Here is a 17,888-nt window from a genome sequence, read left to right as displayed (position 1 = left end):
CGGTGTTTATAGACACAATGGAAAGAGAAAAACTTGATTTTGAATGTTCAATCTGGTAGGTCACTGTGGGTCACTGGCTTTATGGCTTAGGGGAGGAAGCTGTTCCTCCCAACAGAGAGTACTTCAAAACTCATCTGAAAAAGAACTGTAAAAAATATAAAAATTGGTTCAAATTTTCGGAATGGTAGTTTGTTAACATATGGCCAAATATACAATTTGAATTTCCATTTATACAGCAATCTGACTCTAAAAAATTAACTCCCTAAGAAGTTAAGCATACAAAGGGCAAAAAAATGGATATCAGTGTGAAAATGTATTAATCCAAAGGACATAATCATACCAATTTTGAAAGTAATCTATCCTTTAGGAATGGGAACAGTTGGATAGAGAATATCACAATAACCCTTTCAAGTTGGGTGGGGTGGGAGAGAAGGAAGACCAAGGTCACAAAGAGAAAGCCATCTGTCACATATTGGGAATCAAGCAGTAATTTGGGGATGAGAGGGCAGGCACAGAAGAATTGAAAGAGGAGCATGATAGAAAGCTGGAACCGGAATTTAAGAAATGACCAAGAATTTTCTAGCAACATGGACACATAATATAAAAAATAGACTTATTTGCCTTGCTATGATACAATTCCCATCATCTCCCCACATCTTCAGTCTTACACAAACGTCTTTCATATGTAGGAGTTTTGGGGAGGATATTCAGGAAGACTTGACTTCTGACCAAACAAAAGAGAGACCATACAAACAGAATAATGAAAATGCTCATTAAACCAAGCCACTGGGGACAGGAACTCAACCCACTCTAATGATGAAAATAAGTACTTCCTATCAATACATAGAAATCTTTGGAGAGGCTTGAACTTCCCATAATTTGGGCAATAGAAATTTAAACAATTATCTCTAGATCTTAAGATGAAGGTTGACCCTTGTTGATCTTTCATTATAGAGTATGCACAAAGGGTGGTAATCATATATTTTTTTTAGACTTAAAAAAATGTGAACCCCGACTCTACTAAAAATACAAAAAAAAAAAAAAAATTAGCTGGGCGTGGTGGTGGGAGCCTGTAGTCGCAGTTACTCGGGAGGCTGAGGCAGGAGAATGGCATGAACCCGGGAGGCAGAGCTTGCAGTGAGCGGAGATAGTGCCACTGCACTCCAGCCTGGGTGACAGAGTGAGACTCCGTCTCAAAAAAAAAAAAAAAAAATTTGAAATTTCCATTCAGCTGGACTGGCAAATTTATACATGGCACATATATTCAATTCAATAATCTATTTTTGACATATCTGACATATTTTTGACTAAAAAATTATGTTAGAGAACTGCATTTATGGTTTGATCTGACATAAAAATAATTCTATAAATTTATCTATACGTGAATATATACATGAATAGATGGCCAAAAGGTGGTTTGTTGAAATGTTAAGTGTTTATTCAGGGTGGGGAATGTAAGATAATCAAGACTATTCTAATTACATTATTTTGAATGATTAAAATCTTACAAACAGCATGCTTTATATTACAAATTTAGTGTCATTTTCAAAAGAAAAAGGAAAGTAAAAAAGAAAGCAAAGGCAAAAAGAATTTGCTTCACATGGTTGATAAATGGTATGTGAAGAGACCTATAAGAGTAATCGCACTTAGTTCAATGTAGGTGCTCAATAAGTCTGAATTTGCCTTGCCTCTCTCCTCTTCTCTCAGCCTTTATTCCTTTCTGTAAAATAAATCAATAATTGTAACCTGGGAATTTATCAGAAACTTCTGAGGAAATTAAAGATCCAACCAAACAAAACGCTAACAATAACAACAAAACAAAAGTAGTTCTCTAAAGTTGTATGCCTAGAGATTCCGACTTGGGTTATCATTTAGATGGGAAAAAATGTTAACTCTGACTTCTAATATCCCATTCATCCATAAAATTCTAGGGTATATTTATTACATTGCCATTCCACTTGCCATATCCAATTATTGCTTCTACCTAGTTGAGTATTGTAAATGTTAAGAATTCTTTGAATACAAGTTGGTATATATTAATGCTTTGGATATCTCTAATTATATTAAATATGAACATATACAATATGTACTACTCAAACAACCATAAAAGAATGCTTATCAGTTTAGGGAGAAAGAAGTTAACATAAAGCTCTGTTTGTAAGAATATTTTAGGAATCACATACTAAGCTTTGGATAAAATTGTATGTTTCAATCTGATATGTATCTTTTAGCAGATTTTAGTATTCTTAACTAAAAATAATAAACCTTTGGAAAATCATAGTATAATAATCTAGCAAAACTGTTGAATATTTTTATTGACAAGATACAAATAGAACTATTTATCTTCATAACCTTTGAAACTGTATCAATATTGTATATTCTAATATTAGATGTTACATATGAGTTATGCCTATGAACAATTTGGAAACTATAGGCTATTTTTTTTTTTTTTTGAGACGGAGTTTTGCTCTTGTTGCCCAGGCTGGAGTGCAATGACGCAATCTCTGCTCACTGCAACCTCCCGGGTTCAAGCAACTCTCCTGCCTCAGCCTCCTGAGTAGCTGGGATTACAGGCATGCGCCACCACGCCCAGCTAATTTTGTATGTTTAGTTTAGAGAGACGAGGTTTCTCCATGTTGGTCAGGCTGGTCTTGAACTCCTGACCTCAGGTGAGGAGTCCACCCTCCTCAGCCTCCTAAAGTGCTGGGATTACAGGCATGAGCCACCGTGCCCAGCCACTATAGACAATTTTTAAGCTAATTTAGGTGCCAATATAGCAAGTTTTAAAAATTTAGATATTTGAGATAAGCAAGGCTTTTAGTAACCTTTTATTTTCTTTCATTGTTGTCTAGAAAAATTCATACTACCAGAACATAGTAGGTGTCCAATCAATCATTATTAAATTGAGCTATGATAGACACTTCTTGTAGTGGATCCTGTCCTAGACAAAGGGGGTACATTTTTTTATAAACTCCAACAAGCAGGTGCCTAACGCAAAATTACAGTGAATATTTGCAAAAGTGCCCAAATCATTAACTATTTCTACAAAGGAACTATGTGCTCATATAAGAAATATCACATTCTCCAGTTTGGACAAATAGTCTGCTTACTCAATTAGTAAAGAAATAGTCTCAGCAAAATTATCTCTATAAATGACTGAAAATTCTGTGTAATAACTTACCTCCATATTTTCTTGACCTTTTAATTTTAGAGCCTTTGTTATCGCTCATATTTGTAAATTTTCCCTTTGATTTTTTTCAGCATATTACATAAATTTGTGTCTCATAATTTCTATATTTAATATTTGAGAGTCAGATACCCTTTGCTCTTTTCTATTGTCTGTCACTCTCAGTGACTTATTTCCTTGTGTGTTTTGTCATTTTGGGGTGTAAACTGTTCATTTTCGTAGAACTTCTTAAACATTAGAAATTTTGTTTCCTCTAAATAGAACTCACTTTTGCTTCAGCAACTTGGCTTTAAACCAAACTGAAATGACTTTCCAGCTAGCAATGTAGAAGCTTAAGATTTCCTGAGCTCAGCTGAAACTCTTAGGGCAAGAGCAATCTTTGGTATTTAATTATCTTACATGGTGTCCGCTTTTACTTTATTTTTGGCTTCTGAAGTTTTCTCTGCCTGCTAATTCAGCAAAGCATTTAAAGTAAAACATTTTAAAGGTATTTTATCCAGCATATTTTTTCCATTGGGAAATTTATTCAGAGAACTTATTCTGTCATATGCTAAGACCTAAAAGTATGATCCTGGTTCTTTTTACAGTTAGTCATAAATTTTTAAGATCAATCCATGTTGTTATATCTCTCCTTAATATCTTCTGACTGGAATGCTTTCCACAAAGGTGGTAGCACATCTGGATTTCCATCTGAGAAAACAATAAACGTCCACCCTTATCTTTCACTGTATACAAAACTTAATTGAAGATAGGTTATAGATGTAGATTATTAGTAGAATCTAATAATATAAAGCTTCATGAAGACAATATAGGATATTATCTTTTTTTAACTTTGGGGTAAAATGTGACACAGAATATATATGCTTTGTGTCCATTTATATAAATTTCAAAAGCAGGCAAGACTAAACAATATATTTTGTATATTCACAGGTTTGCTCAGGTCTGCAAAGAAAATTGGAAAATTATTAATACTAACTTCAGAATAGTGGTTTCCTCTGTTGAGGAGAAAAATGGCATGAATTTGAGAAGGAATACATGCACTTCTAATTCCTGCTAATTCTCTATGTCTTGAATCAAAAGGTGGGTTCATAGATATTTAATATATCATTATTATTTAAATTATACCTATGTTTATATATTGTATGCCACATCTTACAACAAATTTTATAAACAGAAAGAGCTCCATAGCAGAAAATCATGGATGAAAATTTAAAACAAGTACACAAAGCAATTATAGATATAGTCTCCCTTTCCCCATTCCTCCCTATCTCTCTCTCTTTCTCTTACATACACACATACACATCCAAGGATACATCCCAAAAACACCACAGTGAGTCTATTTTCAGGGGAATAGAGGATCAGGAACAAAAAGAAAAAAAAAAAAAAACAAAATGAAATAAACCAAGAGCAATAGAAGCGAAGACCACCAATTATATTGTGTCATAAAGTGGGGAATATATTCAATTTAACCCTTGGTCCTGCCGATGCAGGAAAACATAAGGAAACAGAAAATTCAAAGGAAAATAGAAAGGAATGAGACATTTTCCTTTCAGCGAGGCCTTATTTTATCAGTTTATTTAAACAGCACTTTAAATTCTCCATCAACCACTGTCCTCTACTCACCTCGGTCCATTTTTTCATTTTCTTTTCTTTTTCTTTTTCTTTCTATGGCAGGGATTTCTGTTAGCTTTTTTCACTGAGTGCCTTAAATAGTACCTAGTACATAGCAGAGACTCTATGAATTTTTCTTTTTTGAGTGCATGAAAAAGTGCCTGTTAAAAATGTGGTTGTGAGGTAGAATAGGGTTAGTAACAGAATGATGTAGGACCAGGATTGATTTTTAAAAAGTAAACATGGGAACACTAATTCTTGTTGAAATCTCATGGGAAGGATCCTCTAGAGTGGCAAAGGTTGAAGAAGCACAAGTTAGAAGAAATGAGCAATGGACTGAGGTCCTTGAGAACACAGAGGGAGTGGGGCCTCATTCACATGGGAGAGATCTGGCCTATGACTTGAAGAGGCACGTTTCCTTTAATATATTAGAAGAAAACAGTATGCAGATACATATGGGTTTATAAATATTTTAGGTGCAAGGATGAAGGACAGGGCGAGGAAGGAGAAAAGTTGGTTCACAAAGAGTCAGTTGTGTCTGGAAAATATTCTTACAAAATTCACATGGTAGAGCTTATATTTGATCCCTAATTGTGACCCTTCAGTAAATTTTGTAAATTGTTGCAGAAGAACACCACCATTTGATATGGTTTGGCTGTGTCCCACCCAAATCTCACCTCGAATTGTAATAATCCCCACCTGTCAAGGGCAGGGCCAAGTGAAGATAATTGAATGATAGGGGTGGTTTCCCTCATACTGTTCTCGTGGTAGTGAATAAGTCTCATGAGATCTGATGGTTTTATAAATGGGAGTATCCCAGCACACGCTCTCTTGCCTGCTGCCATGAAAGACGTGAGTTTGCTCCTCATTCACCTTCTGCCATGATTGTGAGGCCTCCCCAGCCATGTAGAACTGCGAGTCAATAAAAATTCTTTCCTTTATAAATTACTCAGTCTCAGGTATGCCTTTATTAGCAGTGTGAGAACAGAGGAATACACCATTTTTCTTTAAGGATCAAGTATTTCCAATGGGAGAAAATAGAGAAGCATTTTCTAGAGTCAAGGAAAGCATAGTGCATAAGTTAATTAACCTCCCTGGCATTCAGAATTTGTTCCTTGGGGAGCTCAAACCTAATTCTGTTTGTGCCAACCTAGAGTTGGTGTGGAATTTATTCTTCCCATATCCTACACAGAAGCAGCAAGAACATGGTTATAAATAGTGTACCTCAAATAGTAGTTCAGGCTCGAGAAACTATTTCTCCACTTACCACCCAACAAGACAAAACTCATAATGAATGTTAGAAAATTTATTTTTATCTTTAATGATATGTTTGAATGAGTTTTAAAATTGAGAGATTTTATCATTGTAATTATTTTTCCCTGCTAATTTCAATACTTTTAGATGGAATTGAGATTTTAGCTGGCTAAGATCCAAGTAATGTCTTAAGAACGCAATCATTCAAACATAGTCATTCAATTCTTAAAAAGTAAAAAAAGGCAAATGACTCTGTATATAAAATTTCTTGAGTTTTTCTTAGAAAAGAATGTACTGAAAAAAGTCATGTATGGGATAGGTAGTTTCTCATGGATGTAACTTCACAGCTGAAAGATTAGAGACCCAGTCCCAACCTGGGAACCATATGGAAAAACCTTCATGAGAAAGGGCAGGGGGAAGGCTAAAAAAGAAATGTCTAAAAAAGTCTAGCCCCAGGGAAACAGATACTTCAAAGAATAAATCCATCCAAAAGAAATGTCTAAAATTATCCTGTGTTGAATTTTTTTTTTCATTCCAGAAATGTTAAAACAGAACTCAGCAACAAGTTGAAACTCTGTGTGCTGGTAGGTTTGGAGGATGAGTGTGGAAGAAAGCTGTATGCTTTAAAATTACGTGCAAAATATTCCAGCAATCATCACTGTGTAGAACAGAAGAAATCCTGTATAGAAAATAATTTCATTATTGAATTAAATTTAAGGCAGGATGCAGCAATTATAAGTTGTTTTTAGGACCTAATATATGGTGTTATTTTAAAAACAGTTTTCCCTCAATTTTTCATTAATAAACTAATTCATGAAAAACAAAGTAGACAGAAGAAAAAAATGAAAAATTTTTTTCTCCCTGGGTACAAAGTACCATACGTTCTTATGTTTTTGTTTCACCTTATCAACATAGAACTAGTTGATTAAATTATTCCTTCCTTAAAGTTGATTAATTATTCCTTCCTGTACCTCTGCTGATTCATAGATCTCTATTGATATGACATTCATTTTGATTTGGTTTATTGTTTTGACAAGGCATAGGTTTGAGAGACTGAATACACAAACAGATAATGGCCAAACCATATATAACAATAAGACTCTGACCCACAACCTGCAGCACACAGCCCAGGAAACCAACCCATTATCTATAGTAACCAGCCCAACTATGAGTCAGAATTGTAGGAAGTCCAATTTCTATCTGTAGTTACCATTCCAGGAAGCCAGTAATAACCCTTGTAATAAGGGCCACAAATGGGCAGGACTTGATGCATAACTGACAACTTCCCTCATTTTTGTTCACACTTTCAGCTAGAGAAATCCTTAAGCACTCACATAAAATGTTCCATGTCTAATGAGTCCACCTACAGCTTCTCCAAACCAACATTCTCCAATCAGGGCATACTTCAAGCCTTCTTTTTTTTTCCCCCACTTTAAAGTTTTCTCACACCTCTTCCTGCCCTTGAGTCTCTGCCAAGATGCAAGTGATGGTGGCTGTCTTCCTTGCTATAGCAATCTTGGAATAAATAGTCTTGGATTGTTCTCTTTTGGGTGGTCTTTGTTTATTTCCACATGTTTTGTTACAATTTCCACTGCAGCTGATTCTTAAAGCCTCAGCTCTTTCTTTGATAGGGACTTTTTATCTTAGTCTCTCTGTGGGGTGCTCTCTTCCCTCCCCTCCATCCTGACTTAAACATGACTCATCTTTTAGATCTCAGTTCTACAGCCCCTTCTATAGGATTCCAACTAGGTCAAATCAGTCTAATTAGGTCAAATCCTCATGGCGTTCAAGTGCTTCTCCTTTGAAGATATTAAAATGGTTCAAATCAAATTAATGTTGATCTCTTTTACTATATTTTAAGGTTCCTAAGGGCAGGAATTTTGCAGTTTGCCCACCATTGTATTCTGAGATCCTAGCCTAGCACATAATAGGTACTCAACAAATATCTGCTGACTTGACAGAAATGAAACAATAATTCCTGTACTACCACTTTGTTTAAGAAACATACCACCTAATAATAGGATCGTGGAGTGATTAACCTGGGGTGGCTTCAGTCTTTTTGAACCACTCACTTTTATATAAGGCCCATGAGTTTAAGACCTCACACATATTGTCTCATTGGCAATTTCCTCTTCTAACTCCCTTGGATCCCCATGAGTATCTACAGATTTTCCTAAGTACCAGACAGACTCTCAGTTCCCTTTAAGAACCTGGTATTGACCCTGACTTCCTCAAGTAGCTTTGAAGTTTCAGGGCCTAGTGGAGTCCTCTGTGGCCTTTATACTTTGACAATACTTCTGTACATCTTACTCTAATTATGATTTATATCTTTTCCTCTTCCAGACCCTGAGCCTCTCAAAATAAAAGACTACCTTCTGTTTATCTTGCACGAAGCAAATGCTACATACTTATTTGTTGAATTAATAACTGAACCACGACTGTTGATGAGTTATTATGTGCTAACCAGGTACTAACAGATCATAGCTGTTATTTTATTTAATTTCACAATAACTCTGTGAATTAAATAGTATTACCTTCCTTTTCTAGACGAGAAAAACGAGTCTGAGACAGGTAAGGAATCTTGAAGTTTACATATCAAGTGAATAGCAAAGGTAAGCTTTGAATTTAGACATATCACAGACTCCAAATTCTATAATTTAAACTCCGTGCTATATTAAACATAGGCTCTATATTTCAATTCTGTTATCTAAAGTCCTAGTCTTGTCTAGTTTTCTCTTTGCTGTACAACAATATAGTTTCCATTGTCCTTGAAATTCTTCTTTCATGGTCCATAGACACCATGTTTCAAGAGTATACTTAAATTCATGAACTAAAATACTTAATCCTATGTCGTCCTTCATATTTACATTAAAAATATTGCTTAAAATGTAACCATTTTAACAGTTGTACTTTCTTAAAACTTAAAATATTCCTTACAATTCTGATTTCTAAAGAAATATATTTATGTTTAAAATGTGTATACTAAAAAGAACATTTTAATCTTTACTTTTTATATTCTGCATTTTTAATTTAGAAAGTAGAAGTTGCTAGTCAATAAATCATTCTCAGATATATTTCCCCAACTTCTATAATAAATGGGTTTCTAGATGGTTCTCTGATAAATTAAGGCCTTAGAGGTGATTTAACATCATAAAACATCAAAGCTCATTGTTGATATTAATGTGTGAAATAAAAGCTGTAATGTTCTCATGTTCTCAGTGTGCTATTTGCAAAATGTAAAATACCACATTAAATGTAACCTAGAGTTTATAAATTGATTTATGTCAACACACGAACCAAACACAACCATTTACTGCTATGTGTTTTTTATTAAACACATCACGAGATCAAAATGGCAGTTAGAACAGCTTATTCTTTCATATTAAGTAGAACTATGAAGCTGTTGCCTGTATTTAAGAAGGTAATAACAGGTATTTGCATTTCTTTTCTAAGCACAACACATCGGCTAGAACTCAACTAGTATTTCCTGCTAAAAATAGACCTCAATATGAAAAGGAGAGGCAAAGAAGAAGCAACAGTTATTTCCCCTTATAGAAAATTGCATTTCTTGGGCTTCTTTGTCCTACGTAGAATGAACATTATGTAGGTTTTGGATTCTTCCCCTTAAATCTTGGAATAGCTAAAATACACTTTAACTTCTCCCAATTACTCACTTTCCTAGCATAGAGGAATTTATTTATATATAGTTTCATTTATGTAATTTCTTAACATCTGTTAAAGGCTATAAAGAGACAGTTCACATAATCCTCAAAGGAAAATAGACTGAGAATAAACTAGGACTGTATCCACCAGCCAAAGATGTGAATGCCAGACAAAGGCACCTTGATGATATTTTCCCTTCCTTCTTGTTTTCTTTTAATTTCTTTTTGTCTTTTTTTGCTTCTTATAGTTAGAACTAAAGCCAAAGACTAGGCATCTGTATATGTGCAATATATAGCTTTTGGCACACATTGTATGCTGTCCAAAAGTTAAGAATAATGAGATGTTGTTTTGTCTTCTACTTAATACTTTTCTTAAGTAAACTACAGTGATAATGACTGGGCCATTCTCCACAGTATTCATCATTTAGCATTTTAATTGTTGAGTAGAATATAATAGAAAAACAGTGTAGGATGGAGCTTATATAAGGAAGGTGTTGTGAGAAAATGTCTAGGTTAAAGTTCTCAGTTGGGAAATTTTTAATCAAGGCAACAAGCGTGTATTGCTTGAACCAAGCGATGTTTTGTGATTTTAAAACAGAAAATTTTACATCCCTAATTTCATTTAATCTAAGATGTCACAATTTATAAGACACACTCTGATTTCAGAGTTGTTAAAACATGAAAAATAATATCTTTTTGAAATAATAAAATATGGTAAATATCTGAATTTCTGGCTTCTTTTGGCAAATTGAAAGATTTGGCCATAAGAGGACTAAGAATACAACTTGTCAAAAAAAGCTGCTGTCAAGTAGTGGCTGCTTCATTTGATTTCCTTTTCTCCCTTCTTTCCTCTCTCTTCCCCTCCTTCCCTCCCTTCCTATTAAAAGTAGGGAATGGAGTACAACATGATTTGGGAGGTGTGTGTATTATTTTTCATGATGTGATAAGGCAAGTACTCATTGAAGAGGCGACATTTGATCTAAGCCTTCAGCAATGAGAAGAAGCCAGTCCTGAAAAGCTCTTCTTCACCTTTTTGGCCAGTCTTTTTTTCTCTCCTTTGGAAGACCTCTCTTTGCACTGACTTGTTATTATCCCCAGGACTTTTCCCTTGATCCTCTTCTTTTCACTTTTGGATTTTATCAAAGATTTAACCATGACTTAAACCCTAAAGATTCCTGGATTTTCATCTTAAATCCAATCCTCTATCCTGAGTTCCAAGCTCCAGAACAATTTTTCTAACTCTCTAGAAACAGCCCCCTCCAACCTGGAAACTTCACAATCCTTATACACTCCAATCAGATCCAAACTGGCTTCATTATTCCTCTCATTCTCAAGTCCCTCCTTCTTCTGAATTATAGTAATGCTTACATTGTATGCACTACTTTATTTTAACTTAATAAATACTTTTATTATTCCTACTATGTGCCTAACACTAATCCAAATGCTTACAAATTCTGTATGAGATTGTGTATTCATTGAAACAAAGGATTTGTTTCTTAATCTCTTCATCTCTGGCTGTTAGTATGCAAAGGATGTTCAATAAATGCTTGGTGAGAAATAGAAGGAAGTGATGAATCAATAAATGAAAAAATAAATGAAATGAGTGTAACTATAGTTGAGTAGGGAAAGTACAATGTGACTTATTTATTTATTCACATGTAATTTAAGTCATTCCTATGGACAAGCATACTACACCACGTGGAAGGAAAAAAACCCATTTTAAATAATCGCCTCCCTCAAGGAACCCAAAGTTTCATTGAAATGACTTTTGTGGGAGAGAAAGATATAAGCATACATTACAATTAAAAGCGAAGGTCTCAATCCTTCCCTTTCCCAGTATGTAAGAAGAATGCTCTTTATTTGCTTTGATTAGCTCTTAGGCCTTTGTTATACAAATGACAATAATAAGAGATGGAAAAATTTACAGAGCCAGAGAGTCTGGGATAGTATATTGGGGGAGGAGCTATGTCTAGGCAAAAGAGACCAGGGTGAGAGAAGAGAGAAACAGAGACAGTGTGTGTATAAATATTAATATGTGTATATCTTTGTATAAATATATGTATATTTGTAGAGAACTTGTGAGACATTAAAAACATTCATTAGGTCTTATAAGAAATTAGGTCTTATAAATATAGGTCTTGTAAAAACAATGTCCCTTCTCATGTCTTTTCAAAATAATACAGTAAGTATTTTCAATACTTCAGTTGTGTTTTTTTTTATTTTTTTTATTTTTTATTATTATACTTTAAGTTTTAGGGTACATGTGCACATTGTGCAGGTTAGTTACATATGTATACATGTGCCATGCTGGTGTGCTGCACCCACTAACTCGTCATCTAGCATTAGGTATATCTCCCAATGCTATCCCTTCCCCCTCCCCCCACCCCACAACAGTCCCCAGAGTGTGATGTTCCCCTTCCTGTGTCCATGTGATCTCATTGTTCGATTCCCACCTATGAGTGAGAATATGTGGTGTTTGGTTTTTTGTTCTTGTGATAGTTTACTGAGAATGATGATTTCCAGTTTCATCCATGTCCCTACAAAGGACATGAACTCATCATTTTTTATGGCTGCATAGTATTCCATGGTGTATATGTGCCACATTTTCTTAATCCAGTCTATCATTGTTGGACATTTGGGTTGGTTCCAAGTCTTTGCTATCGTGAATAATGCCGCAATAAACATACGTGTGCATGTGTCTTTATAGCAGTATGATTTATAGTCCTTTGGGTATATACCCAGTAATTGGATGGCTGGGTCAAATGGTATTTCTAGTTCTAGATCCCTGAGGAATCGCCACACTGACTTCCACAATGGTTGAACTAGCTTACAGTCCCACCAACAGTGTAAAAGTGTTCCTATTTCTCCACATCCTCTCCAGCACCTGTTGTTTCCTGACTTTTTAATGATTGCCATTCTAAGTGGTGTGAGATGGTATCTCATTGTGGTTTTGATTTGCATTTCTCTGATGGCCAGTGATGAGCGTTTTTTCATGTGTTTTTTCACAGCATAAATGTCTTCTTTTGAGAAGTGTCTGTTCATGTCCTTCGCCCACTTTTTGATGGGGTTGTTTTTTTCTTGTAAATTTGTTTGAGTTCATTGTAGATTCTGGATATTAGCCCTTTGTCAGATGAGTAGGTTGCAAAAATTTTCTCCCACTTTGTAGGTTGCCTGTTCATTCTGATGGTAGTTTCTTTTGCTGTGCAGAAGCTCTTTAGTTGAATTAGATCCCATTTGTCAATTTTGGCTTTTGTTGCCATTGCTTTTGGTGTTTTAGATATGAAGTCCTTGCCCATGCCTATGTCCTGAATGGTAATGCCTATGTTTTCTTCTAGGGTTTTTATGGTTTTAGGTCTAACATTTAAGTCTTTAATCCATCTTGAATTGATTTTTGTATAAGGTGTAAGGAAGGGATCCAGTTTCAGCTTTCTACATGTGGCTAGCCAGTTTTCCCGGCACCATTTATTAAATAGGGAATCCTTTCCCCATTGCTTGTTTTTCTCAGGTTTGTCAAAGATCAGATAGTTGTAGATATGCAGCGTTATTTCTGAGGGCTCTGTTCTGTTCCATTGATCTATATCTCTGTTTTGGTACCAGTACCATGCTGTTTCGGTTACTGTAGGCTTGTAGTATAGTTTGAAGTCAGGTAGTGTGATGCCTCCAGCTTTGTTCTTTTGGCTTAGGATTGACTTGGTGATGCGGGCTTTTTTTTGGTTCCATATGAACTTTAAAGTAGTTTTTTCCAATTCTGTGAAGAAAGGCATTGGTAGCTTGATGGGGATGGCATTGAATCTGTAAATTACCTTGGGCAGTATGGCCATTTTCACGATATTGATTCTTCCTACTCATGAGCATGGAATGTTCTTCGTTTGTTTGTATCCTGTTTTATTTCCTTGAGCAGTGGTTTGTAGTTCTTCTTGAAGAGGTCCTTCACGTCCCTTGTAAGTTGGATTCCTAGGTATTTCCTTCTCTTTAAAGCAATTGTGAATGGGAGTTCACTCATGATTTGGCTCTCTGTTTGTCTGTTGTTGGTGTATAAGAATGCTTGTGATTTTTGTACATTGATTTTGTATCCTGAGACTTTGCTGAAGTTGCTTATCAGCTTAAGGAGATTTTGGGCTGAGACAATGGGGTTTTCTAGATAAACAATCATGTCGTCTGCAAACAGGGACAATTTGACTTCCTCTTTTCCTAATTGAATACCCTTTATTTCCTTCTCCTGCCTAATTGCCCTGGCCAGAACTTCCAACACTATGTTGAATAGGAGTGGTGAAAGAGGGCATCCCTGTCTTGTGCCAGTTTTCAAAGGGAATGCTTCCAGTTTTTGCCCATTCAGTATGATATTGGCTGTGGGTTTGTCATAAATAGCTCTTATTATTTTGAAATACGTCCCACCAATACCTAATTTATTGAGAGTTTTTAGCATGAAGGGTTGTTGAATTTTGTCAAAAGCCTTTTCTGCATCTATTGAGATAATCATGTGGTTTTTGTCTTTGGCTCTGTTTATATGCTGGATTACATTTATTGATTTGTGTATATTGAACCAGCCTTGCATCCCAGGGATGAAGCCCACTTGATCATGGTGGATAAGCTTTTTGATGTGCTGCTGGATTCGGCTTGCCAGTATTTTATTGAGGATTTTTGCATCAATGTTCATCAAGGATATTGGTCTAAAATTCTCTTTTTTGGTTGTGTCTCTGCCCGGCTTTGGTATCAGAATGATGCTGGCCTCATAAAATGAGTTAGGGAGGATTCCCTCTTTTTCTATTGATTGGAATAGTTTCAGAAGGAACGGTACCAGTTCCTCCTTGTACCTCTGGTAGAATTCGGCTGTGAATCCATCTGGTCCTGGACTCTTTTTGGTTGGTAAGCTATTGATTATTGCCACAATTTCAGATCCTGTTATTGGTCTATTCAGAGATTCAACTTCTTCCTGGTTTAGTCTTGGGAGAGTGTTTGTGTCGAGGAATTTATCCATTTCTTCTAGATTTTCTAGTTTATTTGCGTAGAGGTGTTTGTAGTATTCTCTGATGGTAGTTTGTATTTCTGTGGGATCGGTGGTGATATCCCCTTTATCATTTTTTATTGCGTCTATTTGATTCTTCTCTCTTTTTTCTTTATTAGTCTTGCTAGCGGTCTATCTATTTTGTTGATCCTTTCAAAAAACCAGCTGCTGGATTCATTAATTTTTTGAAGGGTTTTTTGTGTCTCTATTTCCTTCAGTTCTGCTCTGATTTTAGTTATTTCTTGCCTTCTGCTAGCTTTTGAAAGTGTTTGCTCTTGCTTTTCTAGTTCTTTTAATTGTGATGTTAGGGTGTCAATTTTGGATCTTTCCTGCTTTCTCTTGTGGGCATTTAGTGTTATAAATTTCCCTCTACACACTGCTTTGAATGCATCCCAGAGATTCTGGTATGTTGTGTGTTTGTTCTCATTGGTTTCAAAGAACATCTTTATTTCTGCCTTCATTTCATTATGTACCCAGTAGTCATTCAGGAGCAGGTTGTTCAGTTTCCATGTAGTTGAGCGGTTTTGAGTGAGATTCTTAATCCTGAGTTCTAGTTTGATTGCACTGTGGTCTGAGAGATAGTTTGTTATAATCTCTGTTCTTTTACATTTGCTGAGGAGAGCTTTACTTCCAACTATGTGGTCAATTTTGGAATAGGTGTGGTGTGGTGCTGAAAAAAATGTATATTCTGTTGATTTGGGGTGGAGAGTTCTGTAGATGTCTATTAGGTCTGCTTGGTGCAGAGCTGAGTTCAATTCCTGGGTATCCTTGTTGACTTTCTGTCTCGTTGATCTGTCTAATGTTGACAGTGGGGTGTTAAAGTCTTCCACTATTAATGTGTGGGAGTCTAAGTCTCTTTGTAGGTCACTCAGGACTTGCTTTATGAATCTGGGTGCTCCTGTATTGGGTGCATATATATTTAGGATAGTTAGCTCTTCTTGTTGAATTGATCCCTTTACCATTATGTAATGGACTTCTTTGTCTCTTTTGATCTTTGTTGGTTTAAAGTCTGTTTTGTCAGAGACTAGAATTGCAACCCCTGCCTTTTTTTGTTTTCCCTTTGCTTGGTAGATCTTCCTCCATCCTTTTATTTTGAGCCTATGTGTGTCTCTGCACGTGAGATGGGTTTCCTGAATACAGCACACTGATGGATCTTGACTCTTTATCCAATTTGCCAGTCTGTGTCTTTTAATTGGAGCATTTAGTCCATTTACATTTAAAGTTAATATTGTTATGTGTGAATTTGATCCTGTCCTTATGATGTTAGCTGGTTATTTTGCTGGTTAGTTGATGCAGTTTCTTCCTAGTCTCGATGGTCTTTATATTTTGGCAAGATTTTGCAGTGGCTGGTACTGGTTGTTCCTTTCCATGTTTAGCGCTTCCTTCAGGAGCTCTTTTAGGGCAGGCCTGGTGGTGACAAAATCTCTCAGCATTTACTTGTCTGTAAAGTATTTTATTTCTCCTTCACTTATGAAGCTTAGTTTGGCTGGATATGAAATTCTGGGTTGAAAATTCTCTTCTTTAAGAATGTTGAATATTGGCCCCCACTCTCTTCTGGCTTGCAGAGTTTCTGCCGAGAGATCCGCTGTTAGTCTGATGGGCTTCCCTTTGAGGGTAACCTGACCTTTCTCTCTGGCTGCCCTTAACATTTTTGCCTTCATTTCAACTTTGGTGAATCTGACAATTATGTGTCTTGGAGTTGCTCTTCTCGAGGAGTATCTTTGTGGCGTTCTCTGTATTTCCTGAATCTGAACGTTGGCCTGCCTTGCTAGATTGGGGAAGTTCTCCTGGATAATATCCTGCAGAGTGTTTTCCAACTGGGTTCCATTCTCCCCATCACTTTCAGGTACACCAATCAGACGTAGATTTGGTCTTTTCACATAGTCCCATATTTCTTGGAGGCTTTGTTTGTTTCTTTTTATTCTTTTTTCTCTAAACTTCCCTTCTCGCTTCATTTCATTCATTTCATCTTCCATCACTGATACTCTTTCTTCCAGTTGATCACTTCGGCTCCAGAGGCTTCTGCATTCTTCACATAGTTCTCAAGCCTTGGTTTTCAGCTCCATCAGCTCCTTTAAGCACTTCTCTGTATTGGTTATTCTAGTTAAACATTCTTCTAAATTTTTTTCAAAGTTTTCAACTTCTTTGCCTTTGGTTTGAATGTCCTCCCGTAGCTCAGAGTAATTTGATCGTCTGAAGCCTTCTTCTCTCAGCTCGTCAAAGTCATTCTCCATCCAGCTTTGTTCCGTTTCTGGTGAGGAACTGCGTTCCTTTGGAGGAGGAGAGGCGCTCTGCTTTTTAGAATTCCCAGTTTTTCTGTTCTGTTTTTTCCCCATCTTTGTGGTTTTATCTACTTTTGGTCTTTGATGATGGTGATGTACAGATGGGTTTTTGGTGTGGATGTCCTTTCTGTTAGTTTTCCTTCTAACAGACAGGACCCTCAGCTGCAGGTCTGTTGGAGTACCCTGCCGTGTGAGGTGTCAGTGTGCCCCTGCTGGGGGGTGCCTCCCAGTTAGGCTTCTCGGGGGTCAGGGGTCAGGGACCCACTTGAGGAGGCTGTCTGCCCGTTCTCAGATCTCCAGCTGCATACTGGGAGAACCACTGCTCTCTTCAAAGCTGTCAGACAGGGACATTTAAGTCTGCAGAGGTTACTGTTGTCTTTTTGTTTGTCTGTGCCCTGCCCCCAGAGGTGGAGCCTACAGAGGCAGGCAGGCCTCCTTGAGCTGTGGTGGGCTCCACCCAGTTCGAGCTTCCTGGCTCCTTTGTTTACCTAAGCAAGCCTGGGCAATGGTGGGCGCCCCTCCCCCAGCCTCGCTGCCACCTTTCAGTTTGATCTCAGACTGCTGTGCTAGCAATCAGTGAGACTCCATGGGCGTAGGACCCTCCGAGCCAGGTGCGGGATATAATCTCGTGGTGCGCCGTTTTTTAAGCCCGTGGGACAAGCACAGTATTTGGGTGGGAGTGACCCGATTTTCCAGGTGCCGTCCGTCACCCCTTTCTTTGACTAGGAAAGGGAACTCCCTGACCCCTTGCACTTCCCGAGTGAGGCAATGCCTCACCCTGCTTCGGCTCGCGCACGCTGCGCACACCCACTGACCTGCGCCCACTGTCTGGCACTCCCTAGTGAGATGAACCCGATACCTCAGATGGAAATGCAGAAATCACCCGT

The sequence above is a fragment of the Homo sapiens genome, chromosome 12, assembly GCF_000001405.40.
Source record: "Homo sapiens chromosome 12, GRCh38.p14 Primary Assembly".
In the NCBI taxonomy this organism is placed as follows: Eukaryota; Metazoa; Chordata; class Mammalia; order Primates; family Hominidae; genus Homo; species Homo sapiens.
Note: the sequence above shows the minus strand (reverse complement) of the source record.